Source organism: Homo sapiens, chromosome 8 (assembly GCF_000001405.40).
Source record: "Homo sapiens chromosome 8, GRCh38.p14 Primary Assembly".
Classification (NCBI taxonomy): Eukaryota; Metazoa; Chordata; class Mammalia; order Primates; family Hominidae; genus Homo; species Homo sapiens.
Window position 1 is genome coordinate 140,583,478 of NC_000008.11, and position 26,473 is coordinate 140,609,950.

The window sequence follows — 26,473 nt, forward strand, 5'->3', positions numbered from 1 at the left end:
CAGGAGGTAGAGTCTACCACACACCTAGGCCACAAACCTGTACAGCACACGACTGCTGAACACGGCAGGCAATTGTAACACCATGGTAAGGATGTGTACATCTACATATACCTAGGTCGGGCCCAGTGGCTCATGCCTGTAATCCCAGCACTCTGAGAGGCTGAAGCAGGCAGATCACTTGAGGTCAGGAGTTCAAGAGTAGCCTGGCCAATATGGTGAAATCCTGTCTCTACTAAAAATACAAAAAATTAGCCAGGTGTGGTGGCAGGTGCCTGTAATCCCAGCTACTTGGGAGGATGAGGCAGGAGAATCACTTGAACCCAGGAGGTGGAGACTACAGTGAACTGAGTTCATGCCACTGGACTCCAGGGTGACAGAGCAAGACTCCATCTCAAAAGAAAAAATAAAAAAATCTAAACTCAGAAAGGGTAGCGCATTGCTCTACTACGTTACGTGGGCTATGATTTCAGCTCCCTTACAATCTTTTGGGACCACGGTGGTATATGTGTCTGTCACTGGCCAAACGTTGTCATGCGGTACATGACTGTATCTCTATCCTATTGGTTCTGTCGCTCCGGAGGATGCTTACAAATGCAATGTACATCTAGAATATACTAAAAACTCTCACGGATCAATAACAAAAAGACAAGAAACTCAGTAAAAAAAAAAAAAAAAACAAAACAGGCAAAATACTTCAACACTTTGCTGGAAATAATATATCACTTAATCGATGAAAATAATATATAAACACATGGAAAGATGCTCAGCTCATCAGGTACCAGAGAAATGAAAATTAACCACAATGAGAAACCACTACTCACCCACCGAAACACACAAAAAAACACGCCTGACCACACCGCGTGCTGGTGGGGGTGGGTGGCCTTGGAAACACTCAGCGGAGCTGACGGGAGGAAAACGTGATGGGAGCATGGGAACACCATTTATTTGGCAGGTTCACATGCAGCTAAACACACAGCTGCCCTTCGGCCCAGCAATTCTACTCCTAGGTATTTATTTAAGAGAGACGAAAACACCTCCACAAAAAGAACTTCAACAAGAACGTTCACAGCAGTCTTATTCATAATGGCCACAGCCTAGACTGCCCATGTGTTTAAAAGGAAGATGAAAAACAGACTACGAAATAGGCAATAGAGTATTTAGCAATAAAAATAAGCTACAAATACACACAACGGCGCAGGTGGGTCTCATAAATTCTGCTGAGTAAAAGCAGTCGGGATTGAGGGTGTGTCACTATACAGACCTGGAAACTAATCTATGTGACACACATCAGAATGCCGTGACTTTAGGGGCTGGGGGTAACCGGAAGAGGGTATGAGGCAACTTTCTAGGGTGATCAGTATATACATTTGTCGAAATTCTTCCAGTTGTGCATTTACGATGTATGTATTTCACTATCCTGAAACTGTGTCTCAATACAAAAACTTGGTATATATTTATATATATATTTTTTTCAATCCGTAGGTTTGACTCTGAAAAACTGTTTTTGAAAAGCAAATGCAGCTGAAACGTTCTGGAAAAAACCCAGATGGATCTGCTGAGAATTTCAGAGTTGATTAGTTTAAATGCCGTGTCTGTCCGCGCAGACCACTTACACAGGTCATGAAGGATGAAACGTAATACCTGTTAACTCTCCTCGGGCACTTCTCTGGCTTGATATCCAATTCATAATGATAGATGTCAATTTTGGGGATGTCCATTTCGAAGAAATTGGCCTGTAATTTGATTGTTCTCCCGGAGGTCCCAAAGTCGGGTCTAGGTGGAGGCTTGAAGGCATATCCTTGGATGGGGGGCGGCGGCGCAGGAGGTGCAAGTGCTGGAATGGCAGAGAGAACACCCATTAACGGGGGAGCAGGCTTGCTCTGCGGCCCTTCCCATCCCGCGGCCCCAAGCCACTATATGCCCCCCTCTGCTGTTTCCATTCACGTCCAGGCCAATATTGCATTCCACAGAGGAGGCGTCTCAACGTCAAGCCAATAATGTACTTAAAATGTATCATAACAACTCATTGGTGATCAAACTTGCTATGTCCATTCCTGTTCTTTCTTCCTGTCTCAGACACTGGAGAGATGAGGCAGCATGAATTACTAGCACGGGAGACAAGGCAAAGAGCCCAAAAGTGTCAAGGCGGTGCCCCTCCCTTGCTGCTGCTTAAACCGCTCGTTTACTCAGGAAGCGCTTTTTACTATGCATAAGCGGCAGAAACTTCATCCCAACTCAAGTTTTCAGTGGCTCCATATTAGTAAAGTTCAAAATGTAGATTTAGAAAAATAAACATTTTTCAATAATAGAACGCTTTCAATTTTCACTCAAATGTCTGTTTAAAAAAAAGACAACCCTTCTCCATTTAAAAAAAATCACATGTACTTCAATCCCTATTGACATTCACTGGAAAGAAAAAGAACTCTACTAAAAATAATATGAGCTGTTCTTACTGTATTTCTGACCTAGAAAAACTCAGAGACTCCTTGAATTATTTGCTTTTTTGTTTGTTTGTTTCCTATGAGAAAACTAACATGCTTTCAAGGTTATTAAACTCACTGAGTTACACCATTTGGAAATGGTTATGGCAGCATGGCCTTCCACCAAGTCGCCATGACTTCATAGATGACACATCTACAGACTTCCATGACACTCCACCCTTCAATGGCACTCAGCGGGTGCCCCTGTGGGCTGGGCACCATGCCCTGGGCCAAGGCTACAAAAATAAAGTCAGGCTGGGTGCAGTGGCTCACACCTATAATCCCAGCACTTTGGGAGGCTGAGGCGGGTAGATTACCTGAGGTCAGGAGTTTGAGACCAGCCTGGCCAACATGGTGAAACCCTATCTCTACTAAAAATACAAAAATTATCTGGATGTGGTGGCACGTGCCTGTAGTCCCAGCTACTCAGGAGGCTGAGGCAGGAGAACCGCTTGAACGCGGAGGTTGCAGTGAGCCGAGATCATGCCACTGCACTCCAGCCTGGGTGACAGAGCGAGACTCCATCTCTAAATAAATAAACAAAACAAACAAACAAACTGAGTCCTCAAGCAGCACCCATGCTGCCACCAGGGACAGTTTCCAGGTGTCAGTCATCCACAGGATGACGTCTGATGACTTTTCATAAGCTCAGCAGCTCACCAAGATCCTTCCCAGCAAGGACCCTGACCGTGACAGGGAGTGGACATCACAGTCCAGGTGGGTTCAGTGGAGACAGCCACTCCCCTGAGGACCGACTGAGCTTCTCTCTACGCCACACCGGAGTAGAACAAAGCACTTGCCAACACGTGGCCCTGTTCTCAGGTGGCTCCAACCACCCAGTGAGACGGCTCCCAGGAAACGTCTAGGACAGAGCCCGGGAATCTGGCCCTGTGGCCAATCTCGATTTCAGGGTCGGGCACGCTCCTCTCGGGGAGGAGAGTCACTGTCCTTCGGTGACTCCCAGCTTACAAGGTGCTCATGCAGTTACTTAACCGAGCCTCACAACCATACCACAAAGGGGCACACCGCTGGCTGCAAGAAGGTTTTGGGCTGGAACACGAGCTACTTGCAGGTGAAGCAAAGCTGCTGGGCCGGCTCCAAACCAGGCCCCTCCACCGGGCCCCCAAGCAGAGTCCAGGCACAGACGCAGCTCGAGCCCAGGGCTCAGGCTGACCCTATTTCTCCTAAGAAGCCTTCCCCGAGACTACCTCCTCTGCAACACCTGGCATGGGAGGCGGGAAACCTGCACGCAGCCTGGTACTAACCCCTGTGAATAAAGGCAATGGGAAAACACAGCGGTAATTCATAAAACATGCAATTTCCTAAGATAGTTCTTTCTTGCTTCTAGCTTTCAATAATGAAAATACTGATACTTCACGTGAAGGCACGTGGAATATAAAATTACAAGTTAAAGATGTAAAAGTTTTCCAGGCAGAGGGGCCAGGGAAGGTCCACCTTCCCGTACCTTCAGGAAGGCAACTCCACTGCCAAGGACGCCTCTGCAGGCCTTAGACCTTGGGGTGCCTGAAATCCACTCTGATCACTCACAGGGAGTCCCACGTGTAAGCTGCAGATACAAGCTGGAGGATCAAAGCCAAAGCGTGCAAGAGGAGACAGAGCAGAAGTGTGCAGACACAACCCCCATGCACGAGGAAGATGGGGATGACAAGAAGGGCACTGGATGCCCACCCTGGGCTGTGAGCCCCTGGCCCCGACAGGTGAATAATGCACCAAGGTGTGGACCACATGTACAAGAGGCCACAAGACACGGATGGGCCACATACGCACTTGTCACATTTGACACGGATGGTTCCAAAAGGGAATTCTAACACCACCTAGGGATGCGCTCTCCATGTGCTCTCTGTTAAAGAAACGAAAGCCCACAAGGAGGAGACATCTGGGATGCCTTCACCAAGAAGATGCCACCACACTGGCATTCACGGAGCAGGTCCTGGCTCCCACTGCCTGTCCAACAGCCGAGTCCCAAATCCCTGGCCTGCATCCAAGACTCGACCTCACCTCCCCACTACTTCCAGGCCCACTGGAAGCAGCCATCCTCCCCCATCTCCTCCATCCTCCAAGGATGCTCCAAGGAGTAATCGAGGTTCCACCTCTCCGTGGACGCTCTCTCCAGACACCCCATGGGCACCTCCTCCCCAGGCCACAGGTGGCACGCCCTGCCACATGTCCTACCCAGTCTTATTTTAAATGGGCTTTAAATGGGCTTTCAGTTGCTTCCATAAGTGTTAGTCTTGTCTCTGCATTGAAGGTTGAAACCTTTGGGAACAGAAAGGCAAATCCTTTCATTCAGGAATCCCAGGATTCTAGCACAGCGCACCTCAGTCACACTGCAGGCTCGGTTCCAGATTGCCACAATAAAGCAGGTCACACCAATGCTTTGGTGTCCCAGTGCATACAAAAGTTGTTTGCACTATACTGTAGTCTACCAAGTGTGTAATAGCAGTGTGTAAATAATGTACATATCTTAATTTAAAAATACTTTATTGCTTAAAAAATGCTGACAGAGACACTAAGTGAGCACATGTTACTGGAAGAATGGCGCCAAAAGAGTTCCTCAGGCTACTACAAACATTCCATTTGTGAGGGAAGGAGGGAGGGAGTAAAGAAGGGAGGCAGGGAGAGAGGGAGGGAGGGAGGGAGGGAGGAAAGGAGGAAGGGAAGGAAGGAGGAAAGGAGGGAGGGAGGGAAGGAAGGAAGGAAAAAAGCATACATTCTTTGTGCAGGGCAATAAAGTAAGGTGTACCTGTGGTTGGAAGGGACCTCAGCTGCTCCTGGGAGGGGCGATGGCTCCCCGGGGCCCAGGGCTGGCGGGCCCTCTGCACTTAAGGCCATACCCATTCCTTAGAGAGCGAGTTCGGAGGGCAAGGCCCGGAACCCAGCGCAGCGTCATGTACACAGCCGTGCCGTGTTCACTGAATCGGCATCACTCAGCACATTTGTTTAAGATTCCATTTTTAGAGCCGCATCTCACACAGTGAAAGGGAAAAATAGTGAATGAGTAATCGGCTTCCTGTGTGAGCAACTGGGTCACAGGGAACAAAAAATTTCAGTATACACAGCGGACGTCAGCAGAGGTGGGCGGCAGGCGAGCCTCCTGCAGGAGCAGGCGGTCCCCTGAAGAAACTCCTTTCGGAGTTGGCTCCTCCCCGACTTTTCAGGGAGGGATGTGGAGCAGACTCTGTGCCACCTGCCCTGAGGGCCATCTAAGTAAGGGACAGGGATGGGGGAAAGTTGGTGCATGAAGAATAAAGTGCAGGCCTGCCAGGATTCCCCGCAGACGTGTACCCTGAGGCGGGGAGAGCAGCTGCAGAAATTCAGAGTCATTAAATAAATGAATAGCCCAGCTCTTCCGTGAAGCCGCTTTGGCTACCGGCGGGTGAACCACAGGCCCGGGTCAGCACCCATAGGCTGCGCAGCTGCCACCTGAGCTTGGGTGGCAGCCTCGCTGTGAGGCTGGCACAGGGGCCCAGGGCTGTCTCCTAGGAAGCCGGCCCAGTGCTCAGCACCCATGAATCAGGGGATGTAAACGGTTAAACATCTGCCACCCAAATGACATGCAAAGCTGTTTCCAGAGCTCCAAAGTGAGTCATTATTCAAAGCCATGCTTCCCGATGGTCCTCCTAGAACTCTGCATTCATTACACTGGGCATCAGCCAGAAAACGTGCAGGCCAAAGAAAGTGAGAAGGATAGCTCAGGGCTGCTAAACACTTCTGTGCCATACCCTGGGCCAAGCCAGGTGCAGATATGGTCTCTGTGATGCCAGGACAGGATGCCCTGGCCAGGCAATGGCACAGCAGCCACCGAGATCCGTGCCATCAGCACGAGCCGCAGAACAGGACGGAGTGATGGCTCAGTGAGTACAGACCAGAGAGTAGATGCTATCAAGCTGTACTCTCCTGCTAAAATCAGGACACGAGGGTGACAACTCACCTGTTGTCTACACAAGCAAGCCTCCCTTATGGCCACCCAAGTTGACGCTAAACACAGTCATGGCAGCTTTTTTGGTGAAATGGACAGAGACGGTCTCAGAATGTGTGCTGGGAATGCAGTCGGAACATCTGCTCCTGTCAGCCGGAGTGCAGACAACTGTATGCTGTCTCCCATGCCAGGCCCGGGCCACCAATGAGCCCACGGTGAGCCGAAGTCAAAGCCTCACCCAGCCCACGTTCACAGAGACGCGTCTGGCCCAGGCGTCACAGCTGTGCAGGGATGGCTGGAGCTGGGTCCCCAGCTGATGCGTTCTACCCCCTCCCCCCGGTCTGACTCCCAAACTGGGGCAAACTGACCTCGACAGGGGCTCTGGAGCCCCCCAGATCTGTGAGGACACACCAAAAGTCAAATGTGACAAGACGGGGAGGAAAAGGAACCCTCGCACTTTGGGGGTCCCAGGTCCCTGGCCACAGAAGCTGCCCAAACACGGACGCCGAGGAAGCGGAGGCACAGATGGGGGTCCCAGGTCCCTGGCCACAGAACCCATCCAAATACGGATACCAAGGAAGCAGAGGCACAGATGGGGGTCCCAGGTTTCTGGCCACAAAACCTGTCCGAAAACAGACGCCGAGGAAGCGGAGGCACAAACATGCCCCACGGTGGAAGGGAGTCAACAGAACCCACCTCGCTGGCCACCGGTCACCCACCTCCACAGGGGAGGCTGCTCCTGCCTCTAGCCAGAGCTCTGCATCAGGAAGGAAGAGTGCACCCTCCAGCCCTGAGCAGGAGCCACTGCATCAGTGCTCCTCGGAACCAGGGGCATCGTCTCAGGAGCCAGCTGATGCCACCAAGGGGGTCTCAGTGTGGCAACGGGGAGCTGGTGCACAGGCTCAGAGAATACGTTCTGGGGAATGCTGGCCATCAACCAGAGCCCTAGGGCCCCTTTGCCCTGGGGACAGATCCTGCTGCAGCCTCAGGACCTCATGGGTCCCAGCTTAGGAAATGGCCCCTACCCCTCCTCCTGTGGGCATGGGGACACAGGATGTAGCCATCCACCACTGCTCCCTGGCTGCATCCACACGCTGAGAAGGAGCTTTTGCCTTCACTCCCTTGGGCCCATGGGAAGGCTGGGTCGGAATGAAGGAGGGAAGGAAGCTCTGGGTGCAGCTCTGGGTGCAGCCCCGGGTGGGGGCAGTCCTCACAGCGGGGGCAGCGGAGCTGTCCTCAGCAGCATCTTCGCACTTCTGTTGAGCACTTCTGTGTTCTGCAGGCGCGGTTCCTGGAAGGCTTTCGTTTCTGTTCTCCCTGAGTAGAAATTATTGGAGCATTTCCAACCTGTCTCAGCCTGGTTCTTGGCAACACCAAAAGAATGGGCCATGGGAGGCAACGTGAGCAGGGGAGCAGTCACCCCAAAGGCAGGGGCTGTAGAAGGTGCTGGGCAAGGACAGCAGGGAGAACTCCCCCAGGGAAGACTGGAACGCTGCGCTGAGGCCGACACAGGCAGCCTGCGCCTCCAGATCAGACTGATGATCATCCCTAAACCACTTGCTCCCCTCTTTTGGTTTAATGAGTAATAGCCTGAAAATATGTTAACCTTATTTTAGTGAGCAATACAGCGTGCACAGGAAGAGCATGACACACCCGTACAGTCTAGGACTGACTATAAACAAACACCTAAGCTCCCGCAGATGACTAACCATCAACACGGAATTTCCTGTTGGGGTTTTTTAAAATAAATGTTTGTGGTTCAACCTGAAACTGCAACCACCATTATCTCTTTGAGAAATGGTCCTGAAAGCCACCCCTGTGATCTTTACGAAGAAAACTTTTCCCCATAAATTATGAATACATTTTTCCTCACAAGTCAAAAACATCCTCTTTGATCCACCATCTGTCTTTACTGAACAATATTAGAAATACTGTAATAAGGCCAGGCACAGTGGCTCAAGCCTGTAATCTCAGCACTTTGGGAGGCTGAGGCAGGTGGATCACCTGAGGTCAGGAGTTCAAGGCCAACCTGACCAACATGGTGAAACCTCATCTCTACTAAAAATACAAAAATTAGCCAGGCATGGTGGCAGGCACCTGCAGTCCCAGCTATTTGGGAGGCTGAGGCAGGAGAATCACTTGAACCCGGGAGGTGAAGGTTGCAGTGAACTGAGATCGCACCCTTGTACTCCTGCCTGAGCAACAAGAGCAAAACTCTGTCTCAAAAAAAAAAAAAATACTATAATAAAGACAAAGAGGAATTAAAGGAATACTGGTAAAATGTAAGTTATCTCCTACAGAAACATTCCCCAATCGGGGCAACTGATGAGACCACAGCATCTCAACCACCGGCCCTACCAAGACAGACCCGCACGCTGGTCCAGGGCTGCTCGAAGCCTGACACCTCTCAGTGGAGACATGAAGAATGCCTTATGCGTACATTTCTCTGACTCTTCTCTACAGCCTTTTCTGGTTTCAACTCTAGATTTCTTTTGTGATTCCGACTCTGTATCTGCCTCTCCCACTAGAATGTAGGCACTGCAATATAGCAAGGACTGTGTCTGTTTTTGTGCAACTGTTGACTGAATGAATACACAGATGAATAAAAGAATATCTTCTTGTTACACCAACTCTTAGTAAAAATGCCTTATGGGTTTATGACTCAATCCCAAGTGTTTTTAGGACAAAACCATAAGGTATCCATAGGAAGGCTATTACTCTACCTTTTACAAATAGTCTTTACTGTTTGTTTGTTTATTTTATATTTTATCCTTTTTAGTAGAGACAGGGGTCTTGCTATGTCACCCAGGCTGGTCTCAAACTCCTGGCCTCAAGTGATCCTCCTGCCTTGGCCTCCCAAAGTGCTGAGATTCCAGGCATGCACCACAGCACCCAGCCTGTTTCAACTAAGAAGCCAACATTTCTCCAGCATCAACATTACTCCAGTACAAGACTTCCAGCACATTCTTGTCTCTTCTCATGTCCTCGCTCTTGGACTTGTCTTCATTGCACAGCTGAGGAGCCAGGAGCTCCATGGGGTGAGGTGACAGCCAGGGCACCTGGGCAGCAGACCACAGGGCTAGGACTGTGATTTCCAGTTTGCCCCTCCACCAACATCAGCCATCAAATCAGCTGACCGCCCTGATGAGGGTCCATGTGACATCTCTTGTACTTCAGAAAGAGTCTTGTTCTCCAAACTGAATCCTTTTTTCACCCAAAACATACAAGAATCTGACCTACCTAACACATGTATGTTCCCTGAAAATATATACACCTATTACGTATCAATAAAAATAGACCAAAACTTTTTTTTTGAGATGGAGTCTCGCTGCCGCCCAGGCTGGAGTGCAGTGGCGTGATCTCAGCTCACTGCAACCTCTGCCTCCTGGGTTCAAGTGATTCTCCCACCTCAGCCTCCCGAGTAGCTGGGATTACAGGCGTGCATCACCATACCCAGCTAATGCTTGTATTTTTAGTAGGGACGGGGTTTCACCATGTTGGCCAGGCTGGTCTCAAACTCCTGACCTCAGGTGATCCACCCGCCTCGGCCTCCCAAAGTGCTGGGATTACAGGTGTGAGCCACTGTGCCCGGCCGACATACACTGATCTGCCACCCTCATGCCTCGTATCTGTGCTAAGCAGCTAGGAAAGTTAAAAAAAAAAAAAAAAAAAAACTTTGTGCCCTTTTACAGTAACTGATTCATCCTAGATACCTAGTACTTTTCTCAATATTTACATAAAATGTTTACTTCCCTTTTTAACATAAGTTCCCATAATTGAAGAAGCAATGGCCACCACCATTGTGTCAGGTACAATGCAGACCCCTTCAGGCAAATCAGCTCCTTTAATCCTTACCACGGGCAAGGCAGGCAGGATCCCCATCCTACAGATGTGGTCCGAGGTGTCTGACAGGCAGAGCTGGGATTCACACACAGCACTCACGGCTACCAGAGCACACAAGCCTTGCCACCAAGCCACGCTGCCTTGAATCGATAACAACTATGCTTAAATCAAACAAAAGGAGCTGGAGGAACCAAATGCGTGACAATCCATCCTCACCAGGTTCACTCAGTTCCATCTGCGAGCACAGGAATACCTGCCCACCAGTGAGGTCTGCCGGTGCCAAGCCCTGCACTAAGGGTTTCCTAAACTCTACCTCAACGCACGATGCCACTCACCCTACACTGCCTGAGCACCTCCTACTCCTGCTCTCAGGGCGCTCGTCTTCAGAAGAGGGCAGGGAGGAAAACCATCACCATCTCCCTGAATGGGCAGGCAAGCCACTGGCAGCACTCGGGTTGGCTGGAGGGGGCTTGCCAGTTAAGGGGACAGGAGAGAAATAACTCAGTCGGAACAATTTTCTGAATATTTGAAGGAAAAAAATAAGGTGAGCTCCCTCTCACATCCTATTACAAAATAAATTTCAAATAGAAACTGTAAATAGATAGTATTTTTAAATGGAACAAAAATATCCACAGAAATATTTTAAAATTTAATAACCTTTTATAGTTTTGGGGTGGGAATGCTCTTTCTGGGATTACAGGCATGAGCCACCGTGCCCGGCCCTCTTTCTTAGAACCAAAAAGAGGTTGCAAAAGGATGATTTTTGGCTGGGTGTGGTGTCTAACACCTGTAATCTCAGCACTTTGGGAGGCCGGGGCAGGTGGATCACTTGAGGCCACAAGTTCGAGACTAGCCTGGGAAACATGGCAAAATCCCATCTGTACAAAAAAAAATAAAAAATAAAAATAAATAGAAAATTAGCCAGTCATGGTGGCATGCCTCTGTAGTCCCAGCTACTCGGGGGTGCTGAGATGGGAGGATCACTTGAGCCTGGGGAGGTCAAGGCTGCAGTGATCCGAGATCACACCTCTGCCCTCCAGCCTGGCTGACACAGTGAGAACCCGTCTCGACGGAAAGAAAAAAACTGTGTGTGTGTGTGTGTGTGTGTGTGTGTATTTCTCTAATTGCATGACAAACTGGGAAATTTTTATGACATCATAAATACACAAACCTAAAGGTATAAACGTACATATACAGAGTTTATATAAACTAATGAAATCAAAAACTCCAACAGGAAATGGTGAGGGATATGACTGGATAGTGCATGAGAAAAAATGGCCACTCCCATCCATGTGGGGAGATTTCAAGCTTGTTTCAGAAGGCTTTTAAAATTACAAGCCTTTTGATCTGGTAACTCAACACCTAGGCATTTGTCCTAAGGAAATACCCAGGCGTCTACACACGAAAAGACTGAGAAGGACTGAAAGGTCCATCAGGAGAAAATGGGTTAAATGAACTGTGAGGACAGTTCAGTGACACTGCTTCTCCATTGATCACACGGCAAGAGCTCCATGTACTTGTAAGTGGGAAAAAGCTTCAGAATGGTGTTTGATGCAATCCCATCTGTCCTATATTATGCACACATACACATTTGGGGTATGAAAGGGAAAACTTAAGGAAGAATTATAAAACAAAATATTTATCGTGATTATTCCTGAGTGGTCAAGCTATAGTCTTTCCACTCTTCTCTATGCTTCTATTTATTCGTTTTATATCTTATTTTATTTATTATTTTATCTTATGAGACAGAATCTCACTCTGTTGCCGAAGCTGAAGTGCAGTGGTGCGATCATAGGGCTCAAGTGATCCTCCTGTCCCAGCCTCCCAAATAGCTGGGACTACAGGCGTGTGCCATCATGCCAGGCTATATATATAATATATATATATATTATATATATATTATTTATATGCCAGGCTATATATATTATATATATAGCCTGGCATATAAAATATATATAATTATATATAAATATTATATTATATAATATGTAAATGTTATATATTATATATAATTGTATATACAATTATATTATATACAATTGTATATACAATTATATTATATACAATTGTATATATTATATTTATATTATATACAATTGTATATATTATATTTATATTATATACAATTGTATATTATATAATATATAATTATATATATTATGTATTATATAATATATATTATGTATATAAATTATATAATATATATTTTATATATAATATATATAAATTATATATATTATATAATATATATATTATATATATATACACACACACACATACACACATATTATAGAGATGGAGCCCTCCTGTGTTGTCCAGACTGGTCTCAAACTCTTGGGTTCAAGCGATCCTCCTGCCTCGGCCTCCCAAAGTGTTGGGATTACAGCGTGAGCCACTGCACATGGCCTGTGCTTCTGTATTTTTTAAGTAGGTTTATTATATTTGTTATTTAAAACTAAATTATTTTTAAAAAATGAACAAACTCTGGGAGAAGGATGAATATTGGATACATCATTCTATTTTTCTCTGATATATCCCTAAGTTAAAGAAAACAGAAGCTGGCTGGGTGTGGTGGCTCATGCCCTGTAATCCCAGCATTTTGGGAGGCCAAGGCGGGTAGACCATCTGAGGTCGGGAGTTCGAGACCAGCCTGACCAACATGGTGAAACCCCGTCTCTACTAAAAATACAAAATTAGCCGGGCACGGTGGCGCATGCCTGTAATTCCAGCTACTCGGGAGGCTGAGATGGGATAATCACCTGAACCCTGGAGGCGGAGGTTGCAGTGAGCTGAGATGGCACCATTGCACTCCAGCCTGGGCAACAAGAGCAAAACTCCATCTCAAACAAACAAAAAAGCAAAATAGAAGCTTAAGATGTAAGCACAGATAGTCATTATGCCATTTAACAGATGCCCAGAGAGATTTAAAAAGTACCCAATGCAAGATCTGCAGTGAGCCCATTTTCCCAGCGTAGTCTCACAGATGAACAAAGTGGCATCTACAGGTGAGGCAGCACGTCCGGGTCACCTGCAGGCTGGGAGGAGTCGGTGGAGCAGCAGGGGAGAGGCAAGTGGCCGGGGTGGGGGACGGGCCCACGTCATCGCATGGCTGCTGTGTCGTCGTGACCGCTGTCTCATCCTGCGAGACACAACCCTGTCCGGGAGAACTCCCCTGGTGCCCACCAGCCCAGGGGGACCTGCCTGAGGGTGCCAGCCAGCCAAGGTGCAGACAGGCACCCTGGCCCCAGAGTGCGTCCCACTGTTCTGCACCGTTGCTGGTGAACATGTTGTTTGAAATAGAAGACTAAAGCCACAAAATGGGTTTTACGTCATGGTTAAAGGGAACTCACAGAGGAACTGTATAGAAGAAAAAAAAACTCAGCAGAAGAGCTGTTTCGTTCATTTATAACCACGCCCCTGCACTGTGTCCCAGCTCTGGCAGGGACGTTCCCTCCCTCTTCACACTTGCTGGGCTGAATCATCTGCAGAGGTGGCAGGAAAACCGCCTCATTTACATACACCCTTTCCGGCAAGCACAGCCAGGGATTCCAATTCCCAGAGCCTCCCAGCCTCTCCAGTGCCAACGCAGCGCAGCACGGATGCAGGGCAGCGTGGGCAGCGGTGGCATAAGGTGCTCACACCCAGCTGGAGTTGAAGTCTGGCTGACATTACTTTCTCTGACTCCGTTTCTGGCAGCAGCCACGGACACCGATGGGGGCTGGGTGGCCCCCCCACCCCCCCCCCCCCGCCCCAGGCCTCCCTGCCTGAGTGAGGGGCCCTTTCCTGGGGGATGGCCTCCTGGCTTCAAGCCTGAATCTTGAGGATGGAAGGAGAAATAAATGAGCATTCAGAAATCTCAGGCTCACTCCTGTCAGCTTCAGCCTCACTCCTGTCAGCTTCAGCCTGATCTACAGGATTAGCTTCTGAGGCCTAATTTTAAGAGAAAAGGAATCAAGAAAAAAAAAAAAGACATCAAAAATGAAAAACTGCCATCTGAGTTCCGTCCCACAGGGTTATAACACATCTTAGCCTTTCTGCCTGTCTTGAAAAGAATAAATGTCTATTTTTATCAGCGAGGCAGCAAAATCCATCAACATCTCCTGCTCATCTGCTGAAACGCACACGCCTGTTCCACTCATCACCGGGCTGTTGCGTCATCTGCCACCTGGGAGGACCAAGAGATGACCCTGCCCACCAGGGGCCTCACAGTAGATGCCAGTGCCAGTGCCAGCAGATGCTTGGCGGGGCCCCATGCTGGGCTGTAGGGCGCACAGCTCTCCTTTCTAGGTGCCAGGTCGAACACTGAGCTTACTATTGTACAAGATCTAACCCAGGAGGGTGAGAAAGGAGGAGATGAGGCAGGACAGCAAGAGGGACTGGGGTCCCACACAGCAGCTCAGCCACTGCCGACCTCGGGGTCAGGAAACAGACACCCACAAGAGCGTCCACGACCCGTATGGGAAGATGTCTGAACCCCGAGACGGCGTGTTCTGTGCTGGAGAACAACTTCCAGGGCTTTATCCAGGTGTTCTAAAGCCACAGCACCAAAAAGAATTCTCTTCGGCAAAGGCAGCAGGACTCAACAGGAAGCAGACGTTTGCGTTCCGTTACTTGAGGAAAACCAAATGCTGCTGACATTTCTACCCAGAGAGAGTTTGCATCTCTCCTGCTTCGCAGCCATCTTTCCTACGGTTTTACCAGGAGAATGCCTAGCTCTTCTCCAACCTGTGCCAGGCCTGACACTCAGCTCCTCTGGGAGTGCCTCCATTTCCCTGTGCGTACAAGCCCACGGTGCCGTAGGATCACCGGTCCACTCTGCGCGGCAGCACCGCACCCCGGAGCCGCAGCTCTTCCTCCCGCTTGCCCGACAGCCCTGGTGCCAAGCCCTGTCTGAGCCCCACCAGGAGGAAGCGCGTGCTGGCTGCTCTCCATCTGCTCTGGGACTCTGGCCTGCTGCTTCCTCTGCCTGCCACTCCCCAACCCCGTTTCCTCCTCTGAAAACTGGAGCTACACCTGCCCCAACAGGGCAGAATTACCTTAAATGGCACAAGACAATTGTACAGCAGACCCACCTCTTCTCCAAAGTTTTCAGGGCCCAAACCCAGACACCTCCTTGCAGGACTCATGGCTACCGTGGGCTCGCACCACCAGCCTCCCCATGCGTTTTCCTGCCTCTGCTTTTGCTCAATCTGCTCAATGACAGAAACGCGACAACAGAGGCCACTTTCTCCAAACCCAGCTCTCCCTCGAGGCTCCCATCCTGCTGCTCACGCTGAGGCCACTCTACCCTGCCCTCCGCAGCTCACAGGCAGACCTGGAGCCCAGTGACTACAGGGTTGGCCTCCTCATCTTGCCACCACTCACAATGCCCAGCAGTGTTAAAATCCGGCAGGATGCACCCGCTTGGGAAGCAGTCCCCAAAGCAGAATCGTCACCACATCTGAATAGTTTCTGCCATCCCACTGACAGGCCAGCATCTAAAAGAGATGTGCGCTGAGCGTCCGTTATGTGGTGGCGTCGCTGTGGTTTCTTAACCAGAACGCAAAATCCTGTGACCAGGATTATCACCGGCTCGTTTCATACATGAGACGGGGGAAGCCAAAGTAACCACTCAGGCCACAGCAGAAAAACGCGTGCTGGAATCTGAAACAAAGTCTGTTGGATTCCAAGGGTTCAACGTCTTTTGTGATGATGAAGACGAAGCCTGCCCAAGAGCAGTCAGAGCTGAAAGAAGAAAAGCAGGAGGGCCTGTGAATGCCCCCAACCCCCTAAAACCTGCAGCTCCAGGTCCGACACTCCCAGGTTTGCGTTTTGAATTTACACTACCTATGGGGTCCAGGCCATCACCTAAGTGAGAAATTTCACACGCTCACCCGGGGTGCTCAAAGCCATCTCTCTAAATGAGGTGCCTGATGTGCAGACAACCCTTATATGATCTACATCTCTTCACCTGTCTGGAAATCAAGACCCTCTCACGATTTTTTTGTTTGTTTTTCCCCGAGACAAGGTTCTCAGTCTGTCCCCAGGCTAGAGTACAGGGGCGCAATCTCGGCTCACTGCAACCTCTGCCTTCCGGGTTCAAGCGATCCTCCTGCCTCGGCCTCCAGAATAGCTGGGATTACAGGCACCCACCATCACACCTGGCTGATTTTTGTATTTTTCGCAGAGATGGGGTTTCACCGTGTTGGCCAAGCTGGTCTTGAAATCCTGACCTCAAGTGATCTGGATCTCTCAGCCTCCCAAAGTGCTGGGATTACAGGCATGAGCCACTGTGCCCTGCCCTCTCATGATTTAAAAGGCAAATGGACACAAAGACACATGCAGACGACGTGACAGCCTCTGTGAAGATGAGACGCCTTGGCAGGCACACTGTTAGAGCCAGAAAGAATCCAGCCAGCTTGCTGAACCACAATGCATTCCTATGTGTGAGCAACGATTAGAAAAGTTATTTTTTACAAAGATGTCATTTACAAACAACAAAAGCTGTAAGGCACAAAAGTGGGACATGTATGAAGTCTACTCGAAAGATGTGTCCTTTAATTACTCCTGCACTTGGCGAGGCCTCTGCTTCCCAGCCTTGTGTTAACTGTGGCCTCTGTTCAGACTCCTGCAGCACACGGAGGAGTCAGCGTCATGGGGTCTACAGATCCAAAACACAGGCCGGGCGCGGTGGCTCACGCCTGTAATCCCAGCATTTTGGGAAGCCGAGGCGGGCAGATCACCTGAGGTCGGGAGTTCGAGACCAGCCTGACCAACATGGAGAAACACCATCTCTACTACAAATACAAAATTAGCCGGGCGTGGTGGCGCATGCCTGTAATCCCAGCTACTTGGGAGGCTGAGGCAGGAGAATTGCTTGAACCTGGGAGGCAGTGGTTGCAGTGAGCCGAGATTGCACCACTGCACTCCAGTCTGGGCAACAAGAGCGAAACTCCGTGTCAAAAAAAAAAAAAAATCCAAAACACGCTCTCTGTTTTCCCATTCGGAGGAGAATTACATCCTTCTGGAAAGAGGCCTCCATGTCTGCTGGCGCCACGTCCGTCCTATGTCCCCTCTCTCTGCTCTGCCTCCTTCAAACCCCAGTGAGTGGGTCACCAAGACCCCGTAGGATTGACGGGGAGGTGGAGGTTGCAGTGAGCCGAGATCACACCACTGCACACCAGCCTGGGCAACAGAGTGAGGCTCCGTCTCAAAAAAAAAAAACCCGAATTCGAATTGTGTCTAAATCTGTCCACTTCACCTCCACCATTTGTGTGCAGGCCACAGCCATCATCTTCTCCCAGCTGGATCACTTCACAGTGCCTACCAGGGCCCCCTGTGTCCACACAGCAGCCAGAGATACCAGGAAGGGCGACTGGGTCATCCCTCCACTCTCAAGTTCCCCAGTGGCATCTCATCTGCACCTGGAGACAGCCAGGTTCCCACGGGTTCCGAGGCTGTCCGGCCACAAGGCACCCAATGCGCTCCTGCCCCAGGGCCTTTGCACTTCCTGTCTACTCTTTCCTCAAATCCCTGCGGTTTGCTCACCCACTCACCTCCTTCAGGTCTTTGTTCAATGTCACCTCCTTAGAGACTGCTGACTGGCTTGTTAAAAACGGTGCATGCCCCCAGCAGCCCCAGCACCCCCCCGCCGCTGTGCTCGCCTCAACAGCGCTTGCCACCTGGCACACTACATCTCCAGTACTCCCTGCACTAGGCACACCCCAAAGAGAAATGTCTCTGTTTCTGCCCCCCTGGTCTACCCCAGGGCTTAGAATCATGCCTGGCAAGTGCTAGGCTGATGGATGTGAACCATATGGTGAATGGTCTCCAGGTAGGTTCTGATTTTCCCTTTGCTCCGCAACCATGGCAGTCTGGGCTGTCTGCCCCAGCCTGGTTGCTTCTTTTTCTGGAGCAACAGAGCATGTGTCTGCCAGCTAGAGTCATCTCTTGGTGTTTGCCTAGAACCTGAACACATCCTCCTATCTACCTTGTATCAGCTCTAGATTACTTATAATACCTAAAACAAACACTATGTAAATAGTTATTATACTGTACTTTAAAATTTTAGAATATTTTTTATTGCTTTTCTCCCCCCAAATATTTTCTACCCCTAGGTTAAGGCACCCTGCTTTGGTGGGTTTACGTGATAGGCAGGTCAGCGGCGGGCCAGCACACAGAAACCTCACAGCCTCCTCCTCCACGGTCTTTCCCCTTTGGGTTGAAGATGCCCTGCAGCCTGAATCCCTGAATAGCTGCATGGAGCAGAGCAGCTAAGCCCACACAGCCCTGGAAATTTACATGAAGGAAAAATAAGCTTCTACAGGGCTTGGATTCCTCCAAGAACCACTGCGTTTGCATGTATTTGTTTTAAGAACTTCATCCATCGCAATGAGCACATCCCTCTCTCCCTAGTCACTATGTTTTCCACATGAACACATGAGGGTCCTTATTTTTTAACAGAGTAGAATAGATGTTAAAAATAAATATCATGAAGGGAAAATTTAGCCTCTATTGATGTTATCTCTTCTGTGACATTTTCCTACTGCATATCAAAATATCCCCAGCCTACATAGCTATAAGGTCATGTTGGCAACACTGTCATTATAAAGGGAAAAAACTGTCCTCTCCCCAGTGATATATTTAGAAATCCAGCATTTCGACTCAGCATTTCCTTAGGTATAAGAATACTCCCACATTTATCTTAAATTACAATCACTGTACATTGTGAAAAGAAGTACTGTTCCAATGTTAATAAAACAGTAAACTGTACATCACGGTGGCGTTAGAAAACCGTCAGAACAGACTCCGTGAAATAAGCTTTAGCTTTAAGTAAAATCTCCCTGTAAGCTTCAGCAGGCTTCTGCAGCCCATCCCTGTGGCTCAGGCTAATTCAATTGCATGGAGATTCAACTTTAATTCCCCGCACTTGGAATGAATACAGCTCCCTGAGGGATACTTAAAAGCAAATTTAACAAATGACAGAAATCAGAAAATTTCTCCAATTTGTCCAACCAGCTATTTGAAATGTCAATTCTAAACACTGGCATCCTGGAGAGGTACCATTTTTTTCCTAGTCAGAATAATTAATTAGGAGTAAATTGCTGAAAATCAAGCAGACAAAATATCCAGGAGTGTTTGCTTCTTTGATCAATTTCCTTCCTGAAGAGAGACGAGCTCACAGTTTAAAACAAATCGAAATGGTATTCTACTTCCTCAGAGGACTGAAGAAAAGTTAACGACGATGCCTGCACGCATTTTGGATCACAGGCCGTGCCACGTGCAGTGTTCTGGCCGCATCTTTTATATGACATAATTATGGATTTCTTTCTATTATTTGCTATCCGAAAGGCAGGCCTGCTGCTGGCCCCAACTTCAGAGACCAGCCCAGAATTGGTGGGAGCCTCGGATGGTGCGGGTTGACTCAGGCCCCCACGGCGGCGTGGCGGAGATTAAAGATGGGGTCTAATCTGGCCCTGTGGACCCGGCTCAGCAGACGATGGAATCCCAGATCTCATCGGGAAGTCTGTCAGCCAAAAACACACACCTCAAAGCGGAGTGCGTGGTGCCTCCACACCGGGCTGTGTTTGCGGAGCTGGGATGATAAGTGTGCAAGGGAGGAGGGATCCAGGGCCAGGTTGTTTTCTTCTTGTTAAAATTCAGATAAATTTACCACCGTAGCCATTTTCCAGTGCACACTGAGGTGGCCTTTCGCACATCCACACTGTTGTGTAACCAACACAACCACCCAATTCCTGGGCACCTTCGTCACCCCCAAAAGAAGCCACGTGCCCGCTAAGCCATCACACCCCGTTTCCTCCAAAGCCCAGGCCTTGGCACACGCACCTGCATTCTGTCTCAATGGCTCTGCCTGTTCTAGACATTTCCAGAGGTGGAGCCACGCACGTGACCCTCTGTGCCTGGCCCCCCTCATGTGGCATGCTGTCCTTGAGGCTCATCCGCGCTGCAGCTGTGTCTGAGCTCCACTGGGGCCGGATTTAACAGACTCCCTCAAGAGGGGCTTGCTCCAGCCCCACGCTGCTGTGGCGGACTGGGCTGGGGGCCTCCTTGTGTCTTCACCCTCCACCCTGCAACTGTGCGGCCTCTTCCACAGACTCCACATCAGCCATGTGCCTTGCCTGGCAAATGGCACAGGCATGACTGTTCCGCATCCCTCAGGGCTTGCAAAGGTGCCAGCTGCTTCTGCTGTGCCCTCTGCTGGGACTCCTGCCTCCCGGGGATGAGCTGCCCCTCCCTCAGGGTGAAGGAGCTGCATGGAGTGGTCCCATCATCCAGGCCCATGAAAGGCCCTAGCCAAGGTGGCCGAGAGGCTAAGTTGGCCTCTGACCAGATGTCCCTCTGGGTCATGCAGCCCCAGCAGCCCCGGAGGCTCAGACACAGTACGAAATGCTGCTGTAGGCCACAAGACCTTGAGGCGCACCAGGGAAACGACGCGATGGAGCAGATATATTCTCAAACTCATCAGAATGAGTGCAGCGTGCTGTGTACTGTCGGAAAGTTAGAAGCACCACGCTGGTCTCTGCTCAGTGGCACCTTTCATCTAGCTGGGAGTTCATGTTCAAGAACTTGAAAATTACATAAGCGAAAATGCTTAGGTATGTTGAAATTAACGGCTAATTATGTGTATACAAATACCGATTCAAACACAGCAACAATAAAAAGGCATTTTTGGCTGGGCGCGGTGGCTCACGCCTGTAATCCCAGCACTTTGGGAGGCAGAGATGGGTGGATCATGAGGTCAGGAGTTCAAGACCAGCCTGGCCAACATGGTGAAACCTCATCTCTACTAAAAATACAAAAATTAGGCCGGGTGCGGTGGCTCATGCCTGTCATTCCAGCACTTTGTGAGGCCGAGATGGGTGTATCATGAGGTCAGGAGATAGAGACCATACTGGCCAACACGGTGAAACCCCGTCTCTACTAAAAATACAAAAAAGTTAGCCGGGCGTGGTGGCGGGTGCCTGTAGTCCCAGCTACATGGGGGGCTGAGGCAGGAGAATGGAGTGAACCTGGGAGGTGGAGCTTGCAGTGAGCCGAGGTCGCGCCACTGCACTCCAGCCTGGGCGACAGAGCGAGACTCCATCTCAAAAAAAAAAAAGGCATTTTCAAGACAACTGGGAAAACCCGTGACTGTATTTGGTGCCATCAAGGAATGGCCATTTATCATGGGTCATGGAACTGTGATTCAGTTTTTTAAAAGACTCCTCATCTTTCAGAGACATACACTTAAGTATCTCTGCATAAACGTGCACTATGTGGGATTTGCTTCAAAATATTCAGGTAAGGAAATAAGACTGGCTATGGCGGATACGTTAGACTTTCTTTCCTTTCATACATATTTGAAAAAAAATACAAGTTTTTTTTCTTCTTTTTGAGGTGGGGTCTTCCTCTCTTACTGAAGCTGGAATGCAGTGTACAATCTCAGCTGCCTGCAACTTCCGCCTCCCGGGCTCAAGCAATCTTCCCACCTCAGCCTCCTGAGTAGCTAGGAGCACAGGTGTGCACCACCATGCCCGGCTAATTTTTTTGTATTTTCGGTAGAGACAGGGTTTCACCATGTTGCCCAGGCTGGACTTGAACTCCTGAGCTTAAGCAATCTGCCTGCGTCAGCTTCCCAACGTGCCGCGATTACAGGTGTGAGCCAATGCACCCGCCCTTAAAAGTATTTTCTAAAGCTTAAAAAAAATATCAGCAAATGAAGGAATGACCAAAGTGAAATGGGATAACCCAGCCTGGGCTGAACACAGACGGGGGTGCAGGGCTCTGGGGTAGGGAGGACGCACGGGGATACCAGGCCAGGTGTGTCTGAGGCTGCGCAAGGCCACCACTGCTGTCTTCTAGGGGAGGGTCTGCAGCTCTCGCAGGGGTGCCCAGCGGTAGGTCAGAAGCCATGCTGGGACCCAGCTGATGAAGACCCCACCCGCTGGTCCAGGGGTAGCTCTAGTTCCCAGCCATTGCTCTTGACTATAAACTTGGACAAGAAAAGGAATGATGACAAGTGGCTGATGAAGCTAAATTAAGGGCACTCTGCAGGAAGGGAGGAGAAAGCTACAAACCTGCTCAGAGGCTTCCGAACTGGCCCAGGGGCCAGGTGAGAATGGGACTGTAACAGCTGCTGTGCAGGAAAATTGCCCGGTGGGATGAAGCTTAGCAAATGGACAAGTCAGTTAGTACCTGCAAAATGAAGCACGGTGTCAAAAACCGCTTTATTTTCCGCACTCTGCTCAATATTCCATGCCTTCGAGGCTCCAAATATACTCAACATGACCAGTGCTATCAACAAATTATGCAGACTAAGTTGCTTTTTCGTAATTATAAATCAATCATGCTCACAGTAAAATATTTGCAACTTAGAAAGGTCTACTATAAGTAAGGTAAGATTTTTTCCATAATTAAATATGCCAAGAAATACCACTGAAGTATATCCTTCCAGGGCATCGATGACATTTTAATTTGTCTGAAGAAACCAAGTAGGTTCTGATGCCTAAGGAGGGGACCCAGGGAGATGCCTCCACCCATTTCCAGCGCAGGAAGAACTTGCAGGCAGGAGCATGGAGGCCCCACCTACTGCGAGAGCAAGCGAGGAGCATGCAGTTCACTTAACACTGTTGGCAGTTCTTGGAAACAGCAAGTTTAAGTGACATGATGTTTAACAAATCCATTTTTTTCCTAATCAACATCATAACAAAACAACATTATTCAAGAACCTGATGTACTTTGTTTTGCTTAAAAACGCAGTTTCCAAGAACCTCTCCACAGCATTAAGGACTCACTAAACATTCTCCAAAAGTTGATGCCTTCAGCACAATGTGAAAAGAACAGCCAAACTAAGCCTATACATTCTGACAAAGTTACACACAAAGTTATCATCTTGGCAAGGCTTGGAAGCGTAGCAAATTAAAAATTCTATAATTGGCTGGGCGCGGTGGCTCATGCCTGTAATCCCAACACTTTGGGAGGCCGAGGTGGGCAGATCACCCGAGGTCAGGAGTTGGAGACCAGCCTGACCAACATGGCAAAACCCCGTCTCTACTAAAAATACAAAAATTAGCCGGTCGTGGTGGCGTGTGCCTGTATTCCTAGCTCCTTGGGAGGCTGAGACAGGAGAATTGCTTGAACCTGGGAGACGGAGGTTGTGGTGAGCCGAGATCACACCACTGTACTCCAGCCTGGGTGACAGAGCAAGACTGCCTCAAAATAATAATAATAATAAATTCTATAATTTAAGGCCAGGCATGGTGGCTCACGCCTGTAATCTCAGCACTTTGGGAGGCCGAGGTGGGTGGATCACCTGAGGTCGGGAGTTGGAGACCAGCCTGACCAACATGGAGAAACCCCGTCTCTACTAAAAATACGAAATTAGCTGGGCGTGGTGGTGCATGCTTGTAACCGCAGCTACTCAGGAGGCTGAGGCAGGAGAATCGCTTGAAGCCAGGAGGCGGAGGTTGCAGTGACCCGAGATCATGTCATTGCACTCCAACCTGGGCAACAAGAGTGAAACTCCATTTAAAAAAAAAAAATTCTATAATTTAAAAATGAGCCAGTTGCAATGGTGTCCACATGAAGTCCCAGCTACTCAGGAGGCTGAGGCAGGAGGACTGCCTGAATCCAAGAATTTGAGGCTGTAGTGTGCTATGACTGTACCTGTGAATAGCTTCTGCACTCCAGCTGGGCAACCTAGTGAGACCCCGTCTCACCCCCACCTCTTAAAGAAAAATTATATATATATATATATATATATATATATATATATATATATATATATATATATATATACACACACACACACGTATGGAAAAAAACAAATGTCACTGACGAATGGATAAAAATGTGTTCTATCAGGACAGTGGAATATTACACACCCATGAAAAGGAATGGGGCACTGGCACCTGCTATGACATGGATGAACCTTTAGAGCATTGTTAGGCGAAAGAAGCCAGACACAAAAGTCCGCATGTATAACCTCAGGAACATGCAACATCCAGAACAGGCCATTCTGTGGAGATGGAGCACAGAGTGGTGGCTGCCAGGGGGTGGGAGGGGGCCATAGGAAGCAGCTGCTCATGGAGCACAGGGCTTCTGTTCCAGGCGATGGAAACGTCTGGACCTAGATGGAGTGATGCGCGCCCAACATCATGATGGACTTAACGCAGTTGAGTTATGTACTTTAAACCGGTCCGTTTTGTTCCGCATATTTTACAAACATATGGAAGATCTAATCAATAATCAATGAATCTGCTCAGCACTGAGCTCCTTTATGCTCCCCCTGGAGGAACTGATACCTTCCCCTGTGGCCTTTGGTGAAGAACACATTGAATGAATGAATTCTCAGCAACAACAGGTTCTTTAGATCTTTAACCGCCACTCCTAAACACAGAGTGGTGATATGGGCTTGTGAGCTCTGTCTGGAGAAACCAAAGCTGTTGTTTTCAGACATTAGCATGAGACAGGCAGAGATAACCTGTCGGAGGTGGATGTTACACTTGGCACTTTTTACGCTGCCATTCTGCCTTCTCTCCCCTCCAGCACGCTCCGGTCTCCTGTCACATCCCCAGGGCAGGCAGCAAATCTGCAGAGCTCTGGCAGCGCAGTGGCCACTTTCCCTGGTCTCCTTCTCTGTGCAAATCACCACAGTCCCAAGGACATCAGCCACGTCACCCTCTACTGTTTTCTCCACAATTGTCCGTGGAGAGCCCAACAGACAGGTCTGCAGCTCCTCTGCTTCGCCGGCCCCATGCCCCCTCCCAGCGCTATTCAGGGCCCTGAGCTGCCCGCAGCCGGCAGGCAGGCGTCAAGCAAGCAGGGACCGGGGCGGGGACCTGAGCAGACACCGTGGACGGAGCAGGTCCAGGCTGAGGGAAGGTCATGGCTGGCAGCACCGCATGCCACCTGGGCGGGCACCAGCCAGGACAATCCACGGGGAAGTGCCATTCCCCAACCTCCACTGCGCAGGCCAAGCACCTGCAGTTTGGGGCCACTGATCCAGCACCCCTTAAACGTCCTGCATCAGACGAAAGCAGTGAGGGGTGTCCCTGCGAGACCTATTACTTTCCAGCTGCTCCAGGGCAGCAAGGGTCATAGAACAGCATCCTGGTAATGTCTGGATACCTGAATCAGCCCCGCGGGGTGATGGGGTACCCCTTGCAAGAATCTGCAACTGTGTAGGGGCCCATGGTGAGGTCCTGCTCCTCCCACATAGGCCACAGGCCCTCCCCACCCACTGCCTCAGTTCCACCGGTGGGTCACTGCCTCCCCAGGCCTAACACCCATGGGACCCCGAAAAATGTCTGCAGATCTGGTAAGCATCTCTTGGAGGCTCAGCTGTGCCAGGGGCCTCAGCGGGGGAGCAGGATGCCGCCTCAGGGCCTCCCAGCCCTTCCCTGGGGGCCACGGGCTTGTGTACATCACCAGAAGGGAAAGGAAAAGCCAGCGTGAGCCAAGTGCTGAGCGGCTGCAGAGAGGACTGCGGGATCCTCAGCTATTTGGCAAAGTTCCATAAGAAACCCGTTTTGAGCCAATCTTGGAAAGAAGGAATTTCCACGAGCAGAAACGGGGAACCTAGGATGGGCATCACACCCGGCAGAGCGGTGGGCGGGCAGTGGCCTGCCGGGTGGCCTGCGGAGATCACAGGGGCTCCAGCCCACGCTTGGGGGTCAGCCTGTATGGTCTAAACAGCTGGCAACCTTGAGACTCTGCAAGTAGGAGTGTGGCCACAGCAGGTCGGCACGGCGGCCCGCCCATCACCCCGTGCACTGCTCCCGCACCGGCCTCGTCATCAATTCTTCCTCTGCTACAGCTGCGGCCTCACTCCCTCAGGAATCTGCCATCTCAATGAGGCCTCCCTAACACCCCAACTGCACACACCCTGCACTTCCTCCTGAGTCTGTCTGCCCATCCCATCCCCCCAGTCATAAGCTCCCTGAGGACAGGAATGGTCTGTTTTGGTTGCTGCTTTCTCTTCAGCATCTAGAAGAAGGCCCAGCACAGAGCAGGTGCTCAAGACATCAACTGTACAAACAACTGAATGACTGCCCGGAAAAAGACAAAAGACAGACTACAACAGCCAGGCACGGGGGCTCACACCTGTAATCCCGGCACAGAAAAAGACAGACTACAATGGCCAGGCACGGGGGCTCACACCTGTAATCCCGGCACGGAAAAAGACTACATCGACCAGGCATGGGGGCTCACACCTATAATCCCAGCACGG

At 49.7% G+C, this 26,473-nt stretch overlaps 1 protein-coding gene across 7 annotated transcripts in view, besides 10 other annotated features; it reads right to left on the minus strand.

The window, feature by feature from the left end:
* Positions 1-26,473, minus strand: part of AGO2 (argonaute RISC catalytic component 2) — a 122,158-nt gene that overhangs the window by 63,322 nt on the left and 32,363 nt on the right. For 3 of the 7 annotated variants that reach the window (XM_011516968.3, NM_001164623.3, NM_012154.5), the window contains exon 2: positions 1,642-1,834. In XM_011516968.3, coding sequence (XP_011515270.3) covers positions 1,642-1,718 — 77 coding nt within the window. In that variant the 5' untranslated portion in view covers positions 1,719-1,834. Of the gene's footprint in view, positions 1-1,641; positions 1,835-5,244; positions 7,958-13,198; positions 13,532-22,319; positions 22,438-26,473 lie in introns of those variants that run through there. The other 4 variants (XM_047421695.1, XM_011516965.3, XM_047421697.1 and 1 more) reach the window with 3 other exon arrangements.
* Positions 5,514-5,743: an enhancer, noted in NCBI's record as "active region_28031". NCBI's record gives its function as "activates an Ori minimal core promoter by ATAC-STARR-seq in GM12878 lymphoblastoid cells {active_cell/tissue: GM12878}" and the evidence as "EXISTENCE:reporter gene assay evidence [ECO:0000049][PMID:35858748]".
* Positions 7,675-7,814: an enhancer, noted in NCBI's record as "active region_28032". NCBI's record gives its function as "activates an Ori minimal core promoter by ATAC-STARR-seq in GM12878 lymphoblastoid cells {active_cell/tissue: GM12878}" and the evidence as "EXISTENCE:reporter gene assay evidence [ECO:0000049][PMID:35858748]".
* Positions 9,998-10,498: an enhancer, noted in NCBI's record as "H3K4me1 hESC enhancer chr8:141603574-141604074 (GRCh37/hg19 assembly coordinates)". NCBI's record gives its function as "activates a minimal SCP1, AML or CMV promoter by ChIP-STARR-seq in naive H9 embryonic stem cells {active_cell/tissue: H9 hESC(naive)}" and the evidence as "EXISTENCE:reporter gene assay evidence [ECO:0000049][PMID:30033119]".
* Positions 10,295-10,344: an enhancer, noted in NCBI's record as "active region_28033". NCBI's record gives its function as "activates an Ori minimal core promoter by ATAC-STARR-seq in GM12878 lymphoblastoid cells {active_cell/tissue: GM12878}" and the evidence as "EXISTENCE:reporter gene assay evidence [ECO:0000049][PMID:35858748]".
* Positions 13,326-13,665: an enhancer, noted in NCBI's record as "active region_28034". NCBI's record gives its function as "activates an Ori minimal core promoter by ATAC-STARR-seq in GM12878 lymphoblastoid cells {active_cell/tissue: GM12878}" and the evidence as "EXISTENCE:reporter gene assay evidence [ECO:0000049][PMID:35858748]".
* Positions 14,014-14,516: an enhancer, noted in NCBI's record as "H3K27ac-H3K4me1 hESC enhancer chr8:141607590-141608092 (GRCh37/hg19 assembly coordinates)". NCBI's record gives its function as "activates a minimal SCP1, AML or CMV promoter by ChIP-STARR-seq in naive H9 embryonic stem cells {active_cell/tissue: H9 hESC(naive)}" and the evidence as "EXISTENCE:reporter gene assay evidence [ECO:0000049][PMID:30033119]".
* Positions 14,246-14,295: an enhancer, noted in NCBI's record as "active region_28035". NCBI's record gives its function as "activates an Ori minimal core promoter by ATAC-STARR-seq in GM12878 lymphoblastoid cells {active_cell/tissue: GM12878}" and the evidence as "EXISTENCE:reporter gene assay evidence [ECO:0000049][PMID:35858748]".
* Positions 15,676-15,745: an enhancer, noted in NCBI's record as "active region_28036". NCBI's record gives its function as "activates an Ori minimal core promoter by ATAC-STARR-seq in GM12878 lymphoblastoid cells {active_cell/tissue: GM12878}" and the evidence as "EXISTENCE:reporter gene assay evidence [ECO:0000049][PMID:35858748]".
* Positions 15,756-15,845: an enhancer, noted in NCBI's record as "active region_28037". NCBI's record gives its function as "activates an Ori minimal core promoter by ATAC-STARR-seq in GM12878 lymphoblastoid cells {active_cell/tissue: GM12878}" and the evidence as "EXISTENCE:reporter gene assay evidence [ECO:0000049][PMID:35858748]".
* Positions 25,491-26,462: an enhancer, noted in NCBI's record as "H3K27ac-H3K4me1 hESC enhancer chr8:141619067-141620038 (GRCh37/hg19 assembly coordinates)". NCBI's record gives its function as "activates a minimal SCP1, AML or CMV promoter by ChIP-STARR-seq in naive H9 embryonic stem cells {active_cell/tissue: H9 hESC(naive)}" and the evidence as "EXISTENCE:reporter gene assay evidence [ECO:0000049][PMID:30033119]".